The sequence below is a fragment of the Homo sapiens genome, chromosome 16, assembly GCF_000001405.40.
Source record: "Homo sapiens chromosome 16, GRCh38.p14 Primary Assembly".
NCBI classification, from domain to species: Eukaryota; Metazoa; Chordata; class Mammalia; order Primates; family Hominidae; genus Homo; species Homo sapiens.
In genome coordinates this window covers 85,202,330-85,216,392 of record NC_000016.10, presented here as the reverse complement: position 1 = coordinate 85,216,392, position 14,063 = coordinate 85,202,330, and the positions used below count along the sequence as shown (strand labels likewise).

At 56.8% G+C, this 14,063-nt stretch overlaps 1 protein-coding gene and 1 non-coding gene across 5 annotated transcripts in view, besides 3 other annotated features; both read right to left on the bottom strand.

The window, feature by feature from the left end:
* GSE1 (Gse1 coiled-coil protein) overlaps positions 1 to 14,063 on the bottom strand; it is a 506,689-nt gene that overhangs the window by 459,808 nt on the left and 32,818 nt on the right. The gene's annotated exons all lie outside the window — the stretch shown is intronic.
* Positions 1,216 to 1,716: an enhancer, noted in NCBI's record as "H3K4me1 hESC enhancer chr16:85248283-85248783 (GRCh37/hg19 assembly coordinates)". NCBI's record gives its function as "activates a minimal SCP1, AML or CMV promoter by ChIP-STARR-seq in primed H9 embryonic stem cells {active_cell/tissue: H9 hESC(primed)}" and the evidence as "EXISTENCE:reporter gene assay evidence [ECO:0000049][PMID:30033119]".
* Positions 6,616 to 6,910: a silencer, noted in NCBI's record as "tiled region #3131; K562 Repressive non-DNase unmatched - State 8:EnhW". NCBI's record gives its function as "represses a minimal TATA promoter and a strong SV40 promoter by Sharpr-MPRA in K562 cells {active_cell/tissue: K562}" and the evidence as "EXISTENCE:reporter gene assay evidence [ECO:0000049][PMID:27701403]".
* MIR12128 (microRNA 12128) lies at positions 8,498 to 8,597 on the bottom strand. Its single transcript, NR_162142.1, has one exon. It is a non-coding gene; the product is annotated as a microRNA 12128 (primary transcript).
* Positions 8,637 to 9,380: an enhancer, noted in NCBI's record as "H3K27ac-H3K4me1 hESC enhancer chr16:85240619-85241362 (GRCh37/hg19 assembly coordinates)". NCBI's record gives its function as "activates a minimal SCP1, AML or CMV promoter by ChIP-STARR-seq in primed H9 embryonic stem cells {active_cell/tissue: H9 hESC(primed)}" and the evidence as "EXISTENCE:reporter gene assay evidence [ECO:0000049][PMID:30033119]".

The window sequence follows — 14,063 nt, the reverse complement described above, 5'->3', positions numbered from 1 at the left end:
GGGTCTTGCTCTGTCATTCAGGCTGGAGTGCCGGGATCATAGCTCCCTGCAGCCTCCATCTCCTGGGCCCAAGTGATCCTCCCAAGTCAGCCTCCTGAGTAGCTGGGACTACAGGTGCACACCACCATGCCTGGCTAATTTTTTGATATTTTGTAGAGATGGGGTCTCACTATGTTGCCCAATATGGTATTGAACTCCTGGAGCACTTTACCTTTAAGCCCTTTAAGGGGTCGGAATGATGGTGGAAGAACGAGAGAGAAGGGGCAGAAGCCCTGGGCTGGGCCACCCTCTCGCTCAGTCCTGGGAGCAGGCAGAGGCAGGGTGGGACAGGAGGGGCTTGCCCCTCCCCAACTCCTGTTGGCTGTGGGCTGACCCCCAGGGCTGAAGGGAACACGTGTCAAGTATGTCTCTGGCCCACCCCTCCAAGGGCTCTGCTCACAGCTGGGTTTGCAGACAGGCCTCCAGGTGACTGAGGGCCCTCATGTCTCAGTTGGCAGCCAACAACCTGATCCTGTTCTGCAACAGAAGCAGCAACCGGTGGGGTTACGGTGGGGACGGGGGAAGGGGAGAGTTGAGTCCTAGGCTAGCCCTCCAAAGCCAGCTTAACCCATAACATCCCATAATAATCACACCCCCCCAGAATGTGTGCTCTGAAAGCAGTGGTGTTCACTCCCTGATCCCCAAGTGCTGGAACAGTGCGGGGCACACAGCAGGCACTCTGTGAATGTTTGCTGAGTGAACAAACAACAGCCGCGTGTCAGGCACTTCTCTAACAGGCATCTATGGGACTGCCACCACAGCTCTATAAGGCAGATATTATTATTTTTTAAAATGTTTATTTCAATTGCTTTTGGGATACACATGGTTTTTTGTTGCATGAATGAGTTATACAGTGGTGAATTCTGAAATTTCAGTGCACCTGCCAACTGGGTAGCGTACACTGTATCTAAGGTGTAGTTTTTATCCCTGGCCCCCCCACAACCCTTCCCCTTCTGAGTGTCTGAAGTCCATGATATCACTCCGCCTGCCCGTGTGGACTCATAGCTTAGCTCCCACCTACAAGTGAGAACGTATGGTTTTGGGGTTTCCATTCCTATGTTACTTCACTTAGAATAATGGTTGGCAGATATTATTTCGCACCTCCATTTTAAAGATGACACAAGTGAGGCTTGCAGCAGTTAAATGACCCAAATCACAGGGTTTCAGAGCTGAGGAGCAGGGATCTGACTCCACAGAATAGAATTCGGAGTCAAAGCTCTTTAACCACTTAACTTCTGGCCACAATCCCATGTCTGTGTAGCCTGTGTCAGGGGTCAGTGTTAACGGTGGCCTACTCCCCAAGGCTCTGGACACTCAGCTCTTTCTTCTCTGGGCACTCTAGCTGGGCCTTGCGCCTGGCATTGTGTCTCCACCCACCCGCCACCCGCAGAGGCCAAGACCGGGCAAGGAGGGGTGAATGGACATGGGGAGGGAAGGGGCCAGCCCTCCTGTGGCCACAGGGTCCGCTCTCAGAGTCAGCCCTGCCCTTCTCCTCCTGCCCCACCCCCACCCACCTGTCCATCCACGAGGGCCCCTGCATCCTCTCACTCACTGCAGACCTATGTTTTGCCAGGCCTGCCAACCCTGCCTAGGATACCAGGCCATGCAGAGGAGGCTCTAGTCGCCTGCACCCCACGCGGTCTGTGAGAGGGGACCGGGCGGGGCCACAGAGGCCAGAGAGGGAGGCCTCAGAAGGGCCCGGGTATTACTGTCTCAAGGCAACTGTGACAAAGAACCACCATCTGGTGGCTTAAAACCTCAGAAAGTCATTCTCGGTGCAGTTCGGTTAGGAGAAGTCTGGATTCAAGGTGCTGGCTGGGCCGCGCTGCCTCTGAAGGCTCCGGGGCCGACTCCTCCCTGCCTTTTCCAGCTTCTGGGGGCTCAGCCACCATCCTGCGCATCGCTTGGTCAGTCGCTGCATCACTCCGACCTCTGCCTGCACCCTGTGTCTGCGTCTCTAAATCTCCTTCTTCTTGTGAGGACATCAGTCCCTGGATATAGGCCCCAAATCCAGTATGACTTCACCCTAACTTCATGCATGGGCAAAGACCCTATTTCCAAACAAGGTCACACTCACAGGTTCTGGGTGACAAGAATCTGGGTGGGGGGGCCCTCACCCCAGCATAGTCGGCTTCCCCGAGGTGGTGCCTCCGGAGCTGCTCTCGTGGGTGAGCGGAGGCCGCCCACAGAGGGAGAGGCCGGCGGGCACGCCAGTCTCGGAACCCGACACTCGTACGATGTCAATCTTCTTTCTGTCTCTGTGCACTCCAAACAGCCAGGCCCTATTATGGGATATTATGTACCCAGTGGAACGATGCCGGTGCCAGCCTGGCAAGAGATGCCCTGGGATGGCCTCCACCTCCCTTAACAGCCCTCTCTCTTTTTCTCTGTCTCATGGAAGCAGTCACAGAAAATCTCTGCGGGGAGGACTGAGGCCTCTGTTCCCACGTGACTGACCTGGCACAGCTGCCAACAGCCTGGGGCCCTCTGTCCTCAGGGCCTGTGAGTCTGAGCTGCCTATGGACTCTGCTCCCCACTCCCACAGGCTGGGCAGCGGGGGCCTTCAATGTTCTTCACTCTTTGAGAATCGGCTCAGAGCCTGAGCTCAGTTCAAGGTCATGTGGTCCCTGCAAGGGCACCCCTGATGCGTGTGAGTCCAGGCTCTAGACTCTGGGCTGGGGGTGTCTTCCTCACACAGCAGAGCCTGCCTTGCTGACTATCACACACGGGCTGGCTGTTGCAATCCGTGCAGGAGCCATAGCCCGGACACGTGACACTTCGGCTCGGAAATGCCACTGTTGGAATTGTGCCCTGCAAGCATGGCAATGACAAAGTACACAGGGAGGTCCTTTGCACTGTTATTATAATAGTAGGGGGTGAGGGGCTGTTCTTTAATTTTTAGAGACAGCGTTTCACTTTGTCGCCCAAGCTGGAGTGCAGTGGCACGATGATAGCTCACTACAGTCTCCACCTCCCGAGCTCAAGCGATCCCCCTCACCTCCACCTCAGCCTCCCAAGTAGCTGGGAATGCAGACGCATGCCAACATGCCTGGCTAACTTTTTCTTTTTCTTTTTTTTTTTTTTTTGAAACAGAGTCTTGCTCTGTTGCCAGGCTGGAGTGCAGTAGTGTGATCTCGGCTCACTGCAACCTCTGCCTCCCGGGTTCAAGAGATTCCCCTGCCTCAGCCTCCTAAATAGCTGGGACTACAGGCATGCGCCACCACGGCTGGCTAATTTTTTGTATTTTAGTAGAGAAGGGGTTTCACCATGTTGGCCAGGATGGTCTCGATCTCCTGACCTCATGATCTGCCCACCTTGGCCTCCCAAAGTGTTGGGATTACAGGAGTGAGCCACCACATCCGGCAGCCTGGCTAACTTTTAAATATTTTGTAGAGACGGGGTCTTGCCATGTTGCCCAGGCTGGTCTCAAACTCCTGGGCTCGAGCGATCTTCCCGCCTCGGCCTCCCAAAGTGCTGGGATTACAGGCACAAGCCACCACACCCAGCTACAGTTTGTTCTAGACATTCAGCAATAAGGTATCATTAAGAAAACACAGACGCCCCCTCTTCCTACACAGCTGGCCATCTTCAGCTGTCACCCCTGCGAGTGGGCGGACACCCCTCACAGACGTCTGTGGGGCGTCATATTAGTTTTCTTGGGCAGCCATAACGAAGTGCCACAGGCTGGGTGGCTTACACAATAGGAAAGTATTTTCTCACAGTTCTGGGAGCTGGAAGTCCAAGGTCAATGTGTGGGCAGGGTGGATGTCTCCTGAGGCCTCTCTCCTTAGCCTGAAAACGCTGTCTTCCCCATGTCCTTACACGGTCATCCTCTATGCAATATCTGTGTCCTGATCTATCCTTATGACTACATCAGTCCTATCGGCTTAGGGCTCACTCTACCCAAACCATTCTACCCCAGGTTTGTTTTTTTGTTTTGTTTTTTTTGAGACCTAGTCTTGCTCTGTCACCCAGGTTGGAGTGCAGTGGCGCAATCTCAGCTCACTGCAACCTCTCCCTCCCAGGTTCAAGCGATTCTCCTGCCTCAGCTTCCCAAGTAGCTGGGATAACAGGCGCCTGCCACCATGCCCAGCTAATTTTTGTATTTTTAGTAGAGACAGGGTTTTACCATGTTGGCCAGGCTGGTCTCGATCTCCTGACCTCAAGTGTTCTGCCGGTCTCGGCCTCCCAAAATGCTGGGATTCCAGGCATGAGCCACCGCGCCCGGCTTCTAGCCCAATTATTAATACCTTTCTGAAGACCCTATCTACAGACACAGGCACATTCCGAGGAACTGGGGGTCAGGGCTGCAACACACAAAGTTGAGGGACATGGCTCAGCCTGTAACAGGAGTCCTCCCCCAGTCAGAAACCATTTGATGGGCGATGGTTCAAGTGATGCCAGCACGGGGGTGACACAGAAGCCTTCAGCCCCCTGGTGCCTTGAAATCCAGGCGCTCAAAGCTGTGTGTGACTTCAGGAAGAGAGCCCTGCTGGAAATCGCTCTGCCCCAAGAGGCAGCATCCAAGTCTGGGGAAGAGCCCGGGTCAGCTTCCAGCTGCAAGAGGCAGCAGCGGAGTGGCACTGGGCAGGCACTGATACCTCTCTCGCGGGTGCCCAGTACCCTGTCAGGCTCCATGGGGCACCCTGGCCCACACCTCCCATCCCCAGGATCTCACTCCACCCCTGGTCTCTCCAGGCCAGATGGGAACCACACAGCTCCAAGTGGTTCCCGCCACAAGTCACCACCTGCAAAGGGCTTGCACGCCAGGGCCCCCTCCAGACCCTCAGCCCTGCGGAGAAGCTGCGAAGGTGCCGCCTCGCCGTATGGATGACTGAAGCGAGGCTCGCCGCCAGTGACTTGTCTAAGGTGACACAGCGCGGCAGTGGCAGAGTGGGACAGGAACGCAGTTCTCACACTCCACCCAGGCTGCAGTGATGCTTGGCTGGAGTCAAGATGTGGGACTCCGCCCTGCATGCCAGTGGCTTGTCAGCAATAATAAAGTGCTTAGCAAGAAAGACATTCCCTTAAAAAAAAAAAACAAAAAAAAAAAACCACAAGCCTGAAGCTGAGACCAGTCTCTCCTGGCACCCCACATGCTTTCTGGCATGGGAAGGGGCAGCTTGGCCAGGGGGCTGGGTACCCCCCTAGAAGTGAGGCCCTAAGGAACTCCCAGAGGGGTGGTGTCGGGATCCAAACCTAATGGAGGGTGTGGGTAAGCATGCCTGTGGCTCACAGAGCCCAGTGTCTGCAAACAGGAGGCACTCAATAAATGCTCCTTGAGCACTCAAGGGCCCCACAGCCAGTATCAGCAAAACCTGCAACCCAGCAAGGTCAAGTGGCACAGTCCTCACCTGTGAAAAGGAGTCTGGGAGCTTCCTGGCCCAAAGATCATCTTACAGAGAAGGAACCCGAGGCCCAGAGAGGCAAAGCAACCTTTCCAAGATCACACAGCTTGCTTGGGTCTTGGCCAGAAGAAGAGTCCAGGTGGCTCCTCTCCTGCTGCCAGAGATGACAAGCTCAAGTGACAAGAATGCCTCCCTCCCATTTAGTGCTAAGATGACACGGTGACAACATTAAAGGATGTTTCAATGGGCAGCGGGTGGCACCCCCGTCACCTAATCACAGCCTCATGCAGCTTCCCAAATTCCTCCCAGCCTCAACTTACACAGGCATATTTCTTTAAGGCTGGAATCAGGACACGTGTACAGTCTGGCATCTGCTTATGGCCACTCAACATGACATCACTGGGGTGTTTTTTTTTTAAGACAAGGTCTCACTCTGTTGCCCAGGCTGGAGCACAGTGGTGCAATCACAGCTTACTGCAGCCTGGACCTCCCTGGCTCAAGCAATCCTCCTACCTCAGCCTCCCGAGTAACTGGGACTACAGGCATCATGCCCGGCTAATTTTTTTGTAGAAATGGGGTTAGCCATATTGTCCAGGCTGGTCTCTAACTCCTGGGCTCAAGCAATCTGCCCGCCTCAGCCTCCTGAAGTGCTGGGAACACAGCAGTTTTGTCAATCACACCTTACTGTGGACATTTGGATTTTGTTTCCACCTGGTAAATAACAGTGCAAAGAACAACTCTGTGCACCTATTATTTCCCTTCTTATGAGTTACTTCTTTAGGACAAATTTCCAGAAGTGGGACTCCTGGGTCAAAGTAGCCAGTGTTTCTCAAACCCTTGACACCTGCTGACAAATGGTTTCAGTAAAGACGAATACGACACAGAACTATGCTGCCAGCGGCAATATGAATGAGCCATATTTTTGCAGCTCACCAGCACCGAGTCTGACCATCTTTTTGGTATGCTAATAGTTGGGACTATTATGCTAATAGTTTAGACTGTAACCGTGTCCCCATGTATTTACTGCTGTGTCTCCTCTCATTTGAATTAGCTGTTAAAATCCCCTGCTAAATCACAGCACCCCTGGAGGTAGGAAAGCTCAGTACCAGTCTCTGGTGGCCAACAGCTTTAGGTCACCAACTGGTCACTTTCTGGACCAGGTCAAAGGCAGGATTAGGGTAGGGACCCCTAACCCTCTCCCAGCGGCCCCCTCAGCCTCAGCTGCCTGGATCACCAGGGCAGGCCCAGCAGGCAACGTCAGGCGGCCTGCCAGACTCTCCCTCCCAGCCTCGGGATCACGTGTCGTGACCATGGCCATGCACCTCGATCTAGGGTTGCAGAATGTGGGCTGAGCAGCCGGGGAACACCTCCTGGCCTTGCGTGACCCTTGGGCTGGCCGCGGGAGGCCGGTGCTGCAGAAGCCGTTTCTGGAACTGTGAGTTGCTTATGGGTTTCTCCCTAATGTGGGGCAGCGATGGTGATGGGGGAGAGGGTGGGAGGGGTCAGTGGTCCAGGGGGATGCACGCCAGCTGGGGGCCACAAGAGATGCAGAAGACTTCAAGAACAGAATGCGGCAGGTTCCTCTGCATGCCAAATGATCAGAGCAGGGGCGGGGGCACGGGAGCCAGGCACTGACAGCCAGGAGGTGCACATCGAGGTCACGAACAAGGACGGAGGATGTTGCCCTGGCCAGCTATGACACTTTGGGCAAGTTCCTTAATCCTCGGTGCCTCAGTTTCCTCATCTGTAAAATGGGAGCATTGTGCCTACCTCGTGGGGTTGTTGTGAGAGTTAAAGGAGCCAATTCCTGCGCAGCTTCTGCAGGCCAGGGCCACAGTGAGCAGAGAACAGAAACACTGGACTCAGTAAACACACGGCAAACCCCAACACACAGCGAACCCCATCACGCGGCAGACCCCAACACACAGCGAACCCCAACACAGGTGAACCCCAACAAGTGGCAAACCCCAACACAGGCGAACCCCAACACGCAGCGAACCCCAACACAGGCGAACCCCAACAAGTGGCAAACCCCAACACAGGCGAACCCCAACATGCGGCGAACCCCAACACAGGCGAACCCCGACACGTGGCAAACCCCAACACACGGCAAACCCCAACACGTGGTGAACCCCAACATATGGTGAACCCCAACACAGGCGAACGCCAACACAGACGAACCCCAACACGTGGCAAACCCCAACACAGGCGAACCCCAACACGCGGCGAACCCCACCCCCACCCCCATCCGCTAATCTAGAGCGGGCAGCAGTCAACTGCGGCCCAGGCTAAGCTAAGAATGACTTTTACATTTTTAAAAAGTCATTCAAAAAAAAAAACAAGGGAGAGTATGGGGCACAGAGCCTGAGGCTAAGTGGCCCGCAAAGCCTAAGGTATCTACAATCTGGTCCTTCACAGAGTTTGCGGTCCCTGGTCTAGAGGTACCAAAGTTTCCTTTGGAATCATGTGAAAGGGGACAGGTGGTGTGGGGGACGAGGACCTGAAGGAGTCAGGAGCTGAGGCAGCAGGAGGCCAGCGTCAGGCAAAGCGTCAGGGAAGGGGCCTGGTCCAGGGCGTGGCTGCTATGACGCCCCTCGAGCCCCAGGCAGGCACCAGGAGGGAGTACTGAGTGGGAGCACCAGCCGAGATGCCACGGGCGATGGCTGAGAACTCCGCAGACCGTTCAGGGAGCACTGATGATTCCTTCCGCCAGCGACGTGGCGGAGTGCATCCCCAGCATGTGGTGGGGTCCCTCTCCATCCGGAGCTCAAGAACCCAGGCCTAGCAGGAACGTTGAGACACCAAGGGCCTGGACACCAGGGAAACTGAGGCTAGAAGAAACAGCATGACCCATCCAAAGTCACCAGGCCATTCAAGGACAAGGACGACAACCAGGCATCCTGACTCCCTCCTAATGCTGCTCCAACCACACACTGACTGTGGGGTACATCCCCATGGTCCTGGGCACCTGGCACCCCCCCCAAACTTCCTCTGTCCCCAGGGACCCTCATCAGACACCCTCCTGTGAGGTCACCCGGGCCTGGATGCAGGGCCCTTGAGTGAGCCCCTGGGACAAAGACCCAGCTACCCCCCAGCAACATCGTGCCTTTCCAGAGCCGGTCTCCTCTTCATGCGCCATCCCTGAAAGCCTCTGTGGGTTTGTTCGTCACATCCCCAGCACCCAGCACGGCGCGTGGTGACCGGGAGTGGGTGTGTGAGTGAATCAGTGGCGACCCAGAGAGGTCGGCTGTCAAGTGACGTCCTCCTCCGCTCATTCTACAGGCGAGAAAGCAGAGGCCTGGAGAGGGTGATGGGCTCATCTGCCCTCACCCCGCTGGTCAACGGCAGAGCCGGGATTCAACCCAGCCTCATCTGGCTCTGCAGCCCGGGCTCCTCACACCAGCGCCTGCAGGGGATTCATGAAGGGGCTGCAGGCTCTGAGAAGATCTCCTGCCGCTGGGGCAGGGTGCAGGGGCCTCTGAATGACCCTCAGTCACCCCCAGCAGGGGAAGCCAGCCTCTCCCAGCTGGGCTGCAGGTCCCAGTGCATCTGTCATGTCCACTGCCATCACCCGGGGGCCGGCACGGACCAGGTCCTCAGCAGGAACCTGCTGGGTGATTGAGTGATGGGGATGGCTGGCGGCGGGCAGGGGCCCCCAGTGCAGCACAGCAGAGCCGGCCCTGAAGACCTTCCCAGTTGGAATCCAGGAGCCTGGCCCGCAGAGCGGAGCCTGAGTGAGGGGCCAGGCCAGGGCTTCTGGCCGAGAGGAGCAAGTGGGGGTTCTGCTGGGGAGCAGTGCCCTTGGGAGGACGGGGGGGTCCCAGATTCGGCTCCACATTCTGCCTCCCTGAAGGTGGAGATGCTAGGTGGGGAGAAGGCAGGCAAGTGCAGACGCCAAGAGCCCCAAGCCGCCAGCCTGTCCCCATCACCAAGAGCCCTCCGCTCGGACCTGCCAAGAGCCGGGGCCAGCAGTGGGCCTGGAGAATAAACATGTCACTGCGAGGCCAGCCCGCCGGACCGCTGGAGCCAAGAACTGCCGCCGGAGGCTGTAAACAGTCTCTCTCCTCTTGGCCACCGGCGCTGGCCCACCCCTCTGGGCTGGGAATTAGCACTTTGCCTGCCATAAAGAAAGGGCAGGAGGGCTGGGGGGGCTTGTGGAGGGGGCGGTGGGCAGGGAAGCTGGGCTGGCGGGGGGCCAGCACCTCCATCCTGGCGGGGGGCCAGCACCTCCATCCTGGCGGCCTAGAAGCTTCCCCCTTTCTCCAAGAGGCGCTGGGAGATTGTGAATGAATGGGGCCTGCTGAGGACGCTGGGGGCCCAGCCGGGGAGGGGACGGGCAGGGGCAGGAGAGGAAGGGGTGGGGGAGGGGCTGAAGCCCATGCTGTAGGGGCCCCCCGGCCTTGGCCCAGGTAGGCAGACGCTTTTCCAGCATGCCAAGCCCCACCTGGCTTGCAGCTGGATCTGGGAAAACCTGGGGGTTCCTGGGGAGGGGGTGTCCAGGCCCCATCGAGACCCAGTTCAGCCACCCCGAAAAGCCTCTCACACCAACTCTCACTCTGCTCCTGGCTGCTGGTTCCAGTCAGGCTCAAAACCTGGCTTCATTCCAGTTCTCCTTGCTGGAACACAAGGCTTCTCAAAGGGCAGATGTGGCCCGGCCATCCCCAGCTGAGACCCTTCCACCGTGCCCCCACCCTTCAGATCATGGCCTGGGTCTCCAAGAAGGTCTCCGGCCCGGGCTTCCCCCAACGCCCGCCTCCTTGCCAAACACAGGTCTTCCCACCACACCCGGCGCCCTTTGCACATGCGCCCCCCCCATCTGGGTGCTTCCCTCCCCCCTTCCCGTGCCCGGTTCACTCCCCCTTATCGTTCAGAACTGGGATCAGCCAGCACCCCCGGCAGATGCCTCCCGGCCTCCCCAGGGAAGTCAGTTCCCTACCTGCCCTGTTCCCTGTTTCTCTCCTTCCAAACCCCTGTCCTGGTGGCACGCTGACATTTGTTTGTGTGATTTGGCCACCGACATCTGTCTCTCCCACCAGACTGGAAGCTCCGTGAGGGAGGAGCTGTGTCTGGCTTTGCACACCACGTTTCTGTCTTGCAGGCACGTGACGGCACTCAGTAAGTACTTGTTAAATGAATGAAGCACCAGATGAATGAATGAGTCAGGCAGCCGTGTCACCTGGAAAGGTCATCCAGGGCTCAGTTCAAATGTCCTCCCAGTCTGCGAGGATTTCACAGATGGGCCCCTGGGTCCCGCTCCCCAGAGCTCCCCACAAGGCAGGCCCATGGGACACCCACTCACACTGAGGAGGGGACACCGCATGCTGCCCAGGGCAGGGGAGATGGGCAGGGGCCTCCACAGCTGCCTCTTACCCCCAGTGTAGAGCCCTGGAGCCAAAGAGGGGCTGTGGGGGATGAGTGTGTTTGAGGGAAACTAGGGAAGGAAAAAAAAAGTAAGGCAGTGAAGACACAAAGCCCAGCCTGCTGTGACCTCAACTCCTGTTTCTGCTGGGTCGCCTCAGGCCAGTGGTCTAACCTCTCTGCACTTCACTTTCCTTATCAGCAAAACAGAGACAAGGCTGGGCGCGGTGGCTCATGCCTGTAATCCTAGCACTTTGGGAGGCCAAGGCAGGCGGATCACTGGAAGCCAGGAGTTCAAGACCAGCCTGGCCAACATGGCGAAACCCCGTCTCTACCAAAAATACAAAAATTAGCTGGGCATGGTGGTGGGCACCTGTAATTCCAGCTACTCGGGAGGTTGAGGCAGGAGAACAGCTTGAACCCCCAGGAGGCGGAGGTTGCAGTGAGCCGAGATCATGCCACTGTACTCCAGCCTGGGTGACAGAGCGAGACTCTGTCTCAAAAAAATAAAAAATAAATAAATAAATAAAAATTAAAGGAGACAACGATGACAGCATTCACCTCTTCAGGGGCTGCGGGGAGATCCAGTGAGCCAAGACGTACGTGTACATGCCCAGCAAATGAGAGCTTTTAGGATTTGGGCAAGTTACCTTTCAGGAACATTCTAGGGGGTTTAAGGGATTCCCTTTTGGAGTGTCCTGGCCCAGGGGCTTCAACTGCATGGACTCCAGAACTCTGAGCTTGTGGTCTGTCCCCAGTCCCAGGCCCTAGGCGGACGACCCTGTAAACAGCTGTGAGCACACAGCACCCTTGGCTGGCTGGGTGTGGGGGACTGGGGGGCAGGCCTGGCATAGCAGGGAATTCAGAGACATGTGAGCCCCACCCTGTGAGCTCAGCTTGCTGCTGGGGAAACAGGAGTCCCCAAGAAGGGCAGATCCCTTTGTCATTCTCCCTGGGGGAGAGGACACAGTCTGTCCGGGCAGAAAGCCCACAGTTCAAATCCTTAACCAGGAGACACCACTTCACGCCTGCTAGGATGGCTAGAATCAGAAAGGCAAATAACAAGAAGTGCTGGTGAGGTGGTGGAGGACTGGAACTTCAGACACAATAGCCTGGCAGGTCCTCAAAAAGTTAAACACAGAATTGCTCACACGACCCAGCATTTCTGCTCCTAGGAACTGAGAATTCCTCAGAGAATTGAAAACATCCATCCACACAAAAACTTGTACTCACATATTCACAGCAGCATTACTCACACTAGCCAAAAGGTGGAAACAACCCAAAAGCCCACGGGCTGATGATGGATAAAGAAAACATGCTATTTTCCATACAGTGGAGTATTATCCGGCCATAGGAAGAATGAAGTTCAGGGGTGAACCTTGAAGACATTTTGCAAAGTGAGAGAAGCTAAACACAAAGGTCACATGTTATGATTCCATTTACAGGAAATATCCAGAATAGAAAAATCTGTAGACGGAAAGGAGATTCACAATCGCTGGAGACTGAGGGGAACGGGGAATGGGGAGTGACAGCTTAACAGGTATGGGTATCCTTTAGGGGTTAAAGTTTTGGGAAATTGGCCAGGCACGGCGGCTCATGCCTGTAATCCCAGCACTTTGGGAGGCCGAGGCGAGGCAGAAAGACTGCTTGAGCCCAGGAGTTTGAGACCAGCAACATAGTGAGACCTCGTCTCTACAAAAAATACAAAAAGTGAGACCCCATCTCTACAAGAAATAATAAAAATCAGCGGGTCATGGTGGTGCACACCTGTAGTCCCAGCTACTCAGGAGGCTGAGGTGGGAGGATCGCCTGAGCCCAGGAGGCTGAGGCTACAGTGAGCTGAGATCACACCACTGCACACCAGCCTGGGCGACAGAGTGAGACCCTGTCTCAAATAAGTAAAGTTTTGTAAAACTGACTATGGTGGTGGCCGCACAACTCTGTGAACTGTACACTTGAGACAGGTGAATTGTATGCTCTGTGAGTCATGTCTCAATAAAGCAGCTGCACAAAGGAAATCCCACTGCTTGGCCTTGGCTGCCTATCTGTAGAGTGGGGTGACTCTAGGCCCACTTGCCACTCTTCCTCCCCTTCCGTGTCCTGCACAGCTGTGTAACCTGCACCAAGGGCCTGCTGGCTTCCCACGAAAGAGCGAGCAGGGTCTCCCTCCATCCAACCCCTCCCTGAGGGGCCACAGGGGCAGGCCGTGTCCCACGTGCTGTCCTCAGGCCTTGGCTCTGCCCGCTCACCACTGTTGCCAGGGTGCCACACCACCTTAGCATCCCGCACCTGCCCCACCTTTAGACTGGACCTGGACACAGGTGTGCCTGCTTCACCAGGACCCCACCTGCCCAGCCTGGCGCTATGCCCTGCGAAGCTGTTGCAGGGCTGGTGGCCATCACTCCATCTAGGTGGCCATCGCAAACGCATGCTGAGGAGGACAGTGGAGCAAAGATGGAAAGGGGGTGCCTAGGAGAGCAGCCCCAGAGCCAGGTGTGAGCTCAGAGCACAGGCACCCCCACAGGAGAGGACCCAGGGCCAAAGCAGTGAGCATCTCAGGAGAAATCCAGGCCCCTGCCACCGCCGAGGCCAGCTGGGGCCAGAGCCACATTCCCCAGGAACACACAGATGTTCTGGCCAAGGAGGAGGGGGAGAAGGGGGGTAGAGGTGGGGAGGGAGGGGGAGGAGGGAAGGGGAGGAGGCGAAGGGAGAGGACGAGGGCTGGCTCTGACCTTCCCACAGAGCTGGGGCACAGCCAGGAGGCCCACAGCCTGTCTCCAGGGCGAGCGCAGGACAAGGCCCAATCCCCAGCCTCCGCTCCCCCTTGGCCAGGCCTGGCTCCACGCTGGGCCTGGAAGCACAGCATCTGGACTCCCAGAAGGGCTCCAGGCGAGAACAGACACAGGGAGCTGGGTGCGATCGGCCTGGCTCCGGCCAGAGGCCCCCCAGGGCCCCTCCCAAGGGGCTCTCCCAGAACCCTGTGGGCCTGGCCTGAGGATCGAAGGGTCCCCCATGAATGCTGGCAGCCCCATCACTGTGGCAACTGAAAACATCCCTGTGTGGGGTGGGGTTCTGCCTCGGGTGAGCCCACAGCCTGGCTGGGGGCCTCATGTTCTCCAGAGCCGGCCCCCTCCCCATCAGCGCCACCATGAGCCCAGGAGTTTGAGACCAGCAACATAGTGAGACCCTGTCTCTACAAAAAAATGTCCTGTGGGCCCCACCCCCGCTCTCTCCCAGCCAAGCCAGGCCGCTTGTTCCAATACTCCCAGCAATGGGAAGAGCTTCCCAAGCCCACCCTGGAGGCCGTGTGGGGCACAA